Below are 7135 nucleotides of genomic sequence, written 5' to 3'. Positions count from 1 at the left end.
ACCGAGCTTCTGCTAAGGGGAGCATCTCCAGAGTACGCAACTGCTTGTAATTAGTCTTTTTCCCCCTCGCTAATCCTGTCTAGTCAAACCCAGCCTATGCGCCCAGTGCTGTTTAGCAGCTCCTTGAGCCGCTCTAATGGTTGAAAAACTAGCTTTTTAGAAACACGATCATCCACGGATAGGGACATGGTTGAATAAATCATAGGACAGCCATAGTTCGGAACATAATGCAACCATTAGAAAGAATGCCAGATCCAGGCAGGGCGCGGTGGCTCACGCCTGTAATCCCAGCACTTTGAGAGGCCGAGGCGGGCGGATCACGAGGTCAGGAGATCGAGACCATCCTGGCTAACACGGTGAAACCCCCTCTCTACTAAAAATACAAAAAATTAGCCGGGCGTGGTGGCGGGCGCCTGTAGTCCCAGCTACTCGGGAGGCTGAGGCAGGAGAATGGCGTGAACCCGGGAGGCGAAGCTTGCAGTGAGCCGAGATCGCGCCACTGCACTCCAGCCTGGGCGACAAAAGCGAGACTCCTTCTCAAAAAAGAAAGGAAAGGCAAGGAAAGAGAGAGAGAGAGAAAGAAGGAAGGAAGGAAGAAAGGAAAGAAGGAAGGAAAGAAGGAAAGAAAGAAAGGAAGAAAAGAAAAGAAAGCCAGATCTGGAGTTATTGGCATAGATGGATGATACATTGTTTTTAAAAAGCAACATGCAGGCAGGGCGCGGTGGCTCACACCTGTAATTCCAGCACTTTGGGAGGCCGAGGCGGGCGGATCACCTGAGGTCAGAAGTTCAAGACCAGCCTGGGCAACATGGTGAAACCCCATCTCTACTGAAAATACAAAAATTAGCCGGGCGTGGTGGTGCACACCTGTAATCCCAGCTACTCGGGAAGCTGAGGCACAAGAATCGCTTGAACCTGGGAGGCGGAGGTTGCAACGAGTCAAGATTGTGCCGCTGCATTCCAGCCTGGTGACAGGAGACTCCTTCTGAAAAAACAAAAACGACAACAAAAAAGCAACATGCAGGCCGGGCACATGGTGGCTCACGCCTGTAATTCCAGCATTTTGGGAGGCCGAGGCAGGCGGATCACAAGGTCAGGAGCTGGAGACCATCCTGACCAACATGGTGAAACCTGGTCTCCACTAAAAATACAAAAATTAGCTGGGTGTGGTGGTGGGCGCCTGTAGTCCCAGCTACATGGGAGGCTAAGGCAGGAGAATTGCTTGAACCCAGGAGGCGGAGGTTGCAGCGAGCTGAGGTTGCGTCACTGCACTCCAGCCTGGCAACAGAGTGAGACTCCATCTCAAAAAAAAAAAAAAAAAGAAAAAGAAAAAGAAAAAGCAACATGCAGATTGATTTTTAAATAATATCCAAAGCTTAAATAAAGCCTTATGTGCTTGTGGGAAGTGGAGAATAGTTAACACTGAACTGCAAACTGATTACCTGGTGGTGGGAGGAGATTCAAGGGGAAGAGTCACTGTGTTTCATTATTGATTTCAGCTAAATTACTAGTTTTAAAAAAGTAAACAGAAAATATTTGTATCTAATTACACACTATGTTCCAGTGTTCTGATCACTTTTTTTTTTTTGAGGTTAACATTGTAAACTCTTTGTGGGTAGTGATGGATTGAGGGCAAATGTTTTTTTGCTCCTGCAGCCAGTTCCTCTGTCCACACCGGAATCATGCACATTCACTGGGGGGAAGGGGGACTGGAAAGTGAAGCAGACAGGAAACCTGGAGGTTCACTTGGGTCTGGACCTCCTCTTTCTTGTGAGTATCCCAGCAAAAGCCTTTCCATGCAGTCTTGATGCTTTCACCAGCCATGAGCAAACAAAATAATCATTTAAGGTGTATCTTCCCTCAAAACAGCAGGCAGGCATTGTGTTTAAGTGCCATTTGCTTCCCAAGGAAGATTCAGTTTGCATGTCCCACCCAAAGGACTCTTTATGTGGCCAATTCTATTACGTGCATTAGTTTAAGCACACCTTTATCAGCAGTATCATCCATGGATCTGTAATTCTTAAGTAAAAGGAATGAAATGGTTTGTCAGATCTTGACTTTGAAGTCAGACCATTCCACAGGCTCAGATGCCCCTCTTGCTCTGTCGTCCAGATTGGAGTAGAGTGGCACAATCCCATGGCTCACTGCAGCCTCAACCTCCTGGCCTCAAGGGATCCTCCCACCTCAGCCTCCCAAGTAGCTGGGACTACAGGTGCATGCTCAGCTAATTTTTTTGTAAAGAGAAGGTCTCCCTATGTTGCCCAGGCTGGCCTTGAACTCCTGGCCTCAAGCAATTCTCCTTCCTCAGCCTCCCAAAGTGCTGGGATTACAGGTGTGAGCTACCGCAAGGTGGCTAATGCCTGTAATCCCAGCACTTTGGGAGGCCAAGGCAGGCAGATAACTTGAGATCAGGAGTTTGAGACCAGCCTGGCCAATATGGTGAAACCCTGTCTCTACTAAAAATACAAAAATTAGCCAGGCGTGGTGGCGGGCACCTGTAATTCCAGATACTTGGGAGGCTGAGGCAGGAGAATCGCTTGAACCCAGGAGGTGGAGGTTGCAGTGAGCCGAGATCATGCCATTGCACTTCAGCCTGGGCCACAGAGCGAGACTCCGTCTCAAAAAAAAATTGTTTTAATTTAAAAAATCTTTATATTAAAAAAAGAGAAAGAAAAAAGCACAACAGGATGACTACAGTCAATAATAATTTAATCGTACTTTTGAGACAGGGTCACTCCTGTCACCCAAGCTGGACTGCAATGGTGCCATCTCAGCTCACGGCAACCTCCGCCTCCTGGGCTCAAGTCCTTCATTCTCCTGCCTCAGCCTCTGGAGTAGCTGAGACCACAAGTGCACACCACCGCACCCAGCTTTTTTTTTTTTTTTTAAATAAAGACAGGGTTTCACCATGTTGCCAGGCTGGTCTCGAACTCCTGAGCGCAAGTGATCCTCCACCTGCCTCACCCTCCCAAAGTGCTGGGATTACAAGCGTGAACCACCCAACCCCAACATTAACTGTGCATTTCAGAATAACAAGAGTGTAACTGGATTGTTTGCAACTCAATGGATACACGCTTGAAGGGATGGATACCCCATTCTTCATGATGTGCTTATTTCACGTTGCACGCCTGTATCAAAACATCTCATGTACCCCATAAATATATATACCTCCTATATACCCACAAAAATTAAGAGAAAAACCACAGGTATTTCCCATTTTTAAAGCTAATGAGCCCTTTACAGAGGAACCATCACTTCTTTCCTACTTTGGGTGCCTAAGCAGCTTGCATTTCCATGCCCTGGGGCAGGAGAAGCAGAAAACTAAAATTATAATTGGTTACTATCAAATTTATTCATTCAAGAAGGAGTGAAAACAAAGCAATTTTACACCTTCATATTAGACACAATCTTGGAAAACAGGTTTTAATATGGATATAGGAGGATGTTGCTAAGTGCCATCATCGAATATGAATATTAAAATAGGAATGTGAATATTAAAATTAGATGTTACTCTGTAATTCCAGTGCTTTGGGAGGCTGAGGAGGTAAGATCGCTTCTGGCCAGTAGTCTGAGACCAGCCTGGACAACATAGCAAAACCTCGTCTGCACAAAAAATGAAAAAACATTAGCTGGGCATGGTGGTACTTTCCTGTGGTCCAAGCTACTTGGGAGGCTGAGATGCGAGGATCCCTTGTGCCCAGGAGTTTGAGGTTACAGTGAGCTATGATCTTGCCACTGTATCCAGCTTCAGTGATCGAGTGATACCTTGTCTCAAAACAACAATAACAACAAAGGAAGGGGCGGCGCGGGCCAGGTATGGTGGCTCCCTCCTGTAATCCCAGTACTTTGGGAGGCCGAGGCGGGTAGATCACCTGAGGTCAAGAGTTTGAGACCAGCCTGGCCAACATGGTGAAACCCCATCTCTACTAAAAATACAAAATTAGCCAGGTGTGGTGGCGCATGCCTGTAGTCCCAGCTACTCAGGAGGCTAAGACAGGAGAATTGCTTGAAACCGGGAGGTGGAGGCTGTAGTGAGCCGAGATTGTGCCACTGCACTCCAGCCTGGGAGAGACAGAGCGAGACTCCATCTCAAAACAAAACAAAACAAAACTTCTGGAATAGCATTACTGTCATGTATTGTAAAGTACAGAAGCTTCACTAAAGTCACTCATTTTGACTTCTACGTAGTTGTTGGAGCAATTACACTAGAGTCAAGAACCCCAGTTAAAAGTAAACTCAATTTAAAATAACTTGGAAATATCCTCCTCTTAACCCTACCAGGGTGTCTGCAAGTAAACCTGAAACTACAGTGCATAGGTATTAGAAATGAGTATCTTTCTAGACGTTCAAATTGAAAACCAACCTTCATGTACAATATACTCAAATTCCAGTGAAAGAGCTAATGGAAGACTAGGGGTTTTACTTGCCTTCTTCTTAGTATCATCTTTTTGTTCCCTTATTAAATTTGCTTTAAAACCAAGGGGGTAACATCCTGGTTTTTTTTTTTTTTTTGAGATGGAGTCGCACTCTGTGGCCCAGGCTGGAGTGCAGTGGCGCCATCTCAGCTCACTGCAAGCTCCGCCTCCCAGGTTCACGCCATTCTCCTGCCTCAGCCTCCCGAGTAGCTGGGACTATGGGTGCCCGCCACCACGCATGGCCAATTTTTTTGTATTTTTTTAGTAGAGACGGGGTTTCACCGTGTTAGCCAGGATGGTCTCGATCTCCTGACCTCGTGATCTGCCCGCCTTGGCCTCCCAAAGTGCTGGGATTAAATTTTTTTTTTTTTTAATGTTGAACTAGGATATTTAAACAATCCCAGTGCTTTCTATCAGAATGTGAGCTCTCTGACGGGTGAGCCATAGTCCTACGTTGTGCTCCTTTTCTGCAAGAGCAGAGGTCCAAGAACAGGGCTAAAGACCTCAGTGGGAATGACTGTTCTTCATCACATTCTGGATTCACAGCCAAACAGGGTAGCTGTGCTGTCAACACACTTAACAAGGCAACTGGTCTTAACTTCCGGAACTATATCCAGGAGCCAGGCCATTGATAAAACAGTTCTTTAAAAATTCTTGCCTTTGGTTCAAAGTAGGGAGAAAAGGATAACTTCAGGAAGTTTTTTATAGCTTAAAATATTGAGTCTCAGAAAGTTATATATATTCATCTCAGCAGTCTGAACGCTTAGATGATCAATCTGCAAGTAATTGGAAATGTACAAAGAAGAAAAATTGCTGGGAAGTTTGTCCTGGTCCACACACCACCACCAAAATGTGACACAATTTTTTTTTTTTTGAGATGGAGTCTCACTCTGTCGACCAGGCTGGAGTGAAGTGACGTGATCTCAGCTCGCTGCAACCTCTGCCCCCTGGGTTTCAAGTGATTCTCCTGCCTCAGCCTCCCAAGTAGCTGGGATTACAGGCACACGTCCGGCTAATTTTTGTATTTTTAGTAGAGACAGGGTTTCGCCATGTTGGCCAGGCTGGTCTGGAACTCCTGACTTCACGTGATCCATCTGCCTCGGCCTCCCAAAGTGCTGGGATTACGGGCGTGAGCCACAGTGCCCAGCCAAAATGCGACACTTCTTCCCTGTCTAGCAGTGCAAGATCTTAAAGTCAGATTATAAAACAAGTTGTATTCTCACTTTATCATTTTTCTCTGCAGTTCTAGGGCAGGTTTATCTGAATTACTTAAGTCCTTCATAGTATAGTGAGCATAAAAGAGGACACAAGCCAAATGTATACTTAAATTAAATAGCATGATTTAATTTAGTTGGTGCTTAACCCTGAATCCTCTTAAGTTAAAAAAAAAGTTATAATTAACTATTAACGTTAATGAATTTAAACCTTCCAGAAAGCATGAATCCAAAAGGAAATGTCCAACAGGTGATATGAACCAGATATTTTATGGCCTTTCCTGTTTCAGTCTCAAACTTTCTAAACATCAATGGGGAAAAAAAATTCTCTAGAGTTTTTCAGTTTTATTCTTCTAGAGCACAATTTTCCGGCCTGTTACTGAGTACGGTCTTCTAACAGGTACACAATTAACTCATAAGTAGACAACACAATGGCAGTATTTGGGATCTGCCGGATAAGCTGGGCAAACAGTCCTCTATAAAAGGCAAGGTAGCCTTCTTCCCGGAACACCAGGCGCGCCGTCTGGACAAAAGACTTGTACTTGGTGCCCTCTTCCCGGAGCCTCGTCCTTATGACTTCTGCAGAGAGAGAAAGACCTACTTTACGCCACATATTAAATGGGGAACGAATCCACAGCACACAACTTTAAAACTGTCAAGGTTAGGCCGGGTGCGGTGGCTCACACCTGTAATCCCAGAACTTTGGGAGGCCGAGGCGGGTGGATCACTTGAGGCCAGGAGTTGGAGACCAGCCTGGCCAACATGGTGAAACCCCGTCTCTACTGAAAAACAAAAATTAGCCAGGCAAGGTGGTGCACGCCTACTACTAGAGTGGCTGAGGAATGAGGATCGCTTGAACCTGGGAGGTGAAGGTCGCAATGAGTCGGGATCGTGCCACTACACTCCAGCCTGGGCCACGGAGCAAGCAAGACTCTGTCTCAAAAAATAAATAAATAAAATAAAATTGTCAAGGTTACAACTGTGTCTATTTCCCACCTCAGCTGTATTTGGACAGGAAAGTCACATAACCTAGAGAGACAATGAAAAATTAAGTTCTTTTTAGAACCTTTTCCAACTCTAGGATTTGGTCAACTATGGACACTTACACATACACGAAAGTACAAAATAACTTTTTTTTTTTTTTTTTTGAGGCAGAGTCTCACTCTATTACTCAGGCTGGAGTGCAGTCGGTACGATCTTGGCTCACTGCAACCTCTGCCTTCTGGGTTCAAGTGATTCTCCTGCCTCAGCCTCCTGAGTAGCTGGGATTACAGGCACCTGCCACCACACCCAGCTAATTTTTGTATTTTTAGTAGAGACGGGGTTTCGCCATGTTGGCCAGCCTGGTTTCGAACTCCTAATCTCAGGTGATGTGCCCATCTTGGCCTCCCAAAGTGCTGGGATTACAGCAAAATAACTTTTAAGGGGTTAAAAAAAGCTTAGTTTCAATGAGACTTAATGTTAAAATAATTCATGGTTTTCTACTCCCAATTAAGCAAATGCTAA

At 45.3% G+C, this 7135-nt stretch overlaps 1 protein-coding gene across 1 annotated transcript in view; it reads right to left on the bottom strand.

The window, feature by feature from the left end:
- SLC25A33 (solute carrier family 25 member 33) overlaps positions 3334-7135 on the bottom strand; it is a 45709-nt gene continuing 41907 nt past the window's right edge. The window contains exon 7 of the mRNA NM_032315.3: positions 3334-6208. Coding sequence (NP_115691.1) covers positions 6006-6208 — 203 coding nt within the window. The 3' untranslated portion in view covers positions 3334-6005. The remainder of the gene's footprint in view (positions 6209-7135) is intronic.

The sequence above is a fragment of the Homo sapiens genome, chromosome 1 (assembly GCF_000001405.40).
Source record: "Homo sapiens chromosome 1, GRCh38.p14 Primary Assembly".
Taxonomy (NCBI): Eukaryota; Metazoa; Chordata; class Mammalia; order Primates; family Hominidae; genus Homo; species Homo sapiens.
Note: the sequence above shows the minus strand (reverse complement) of the source record. Positions and strands in the feature narration are given on the sequence as shown.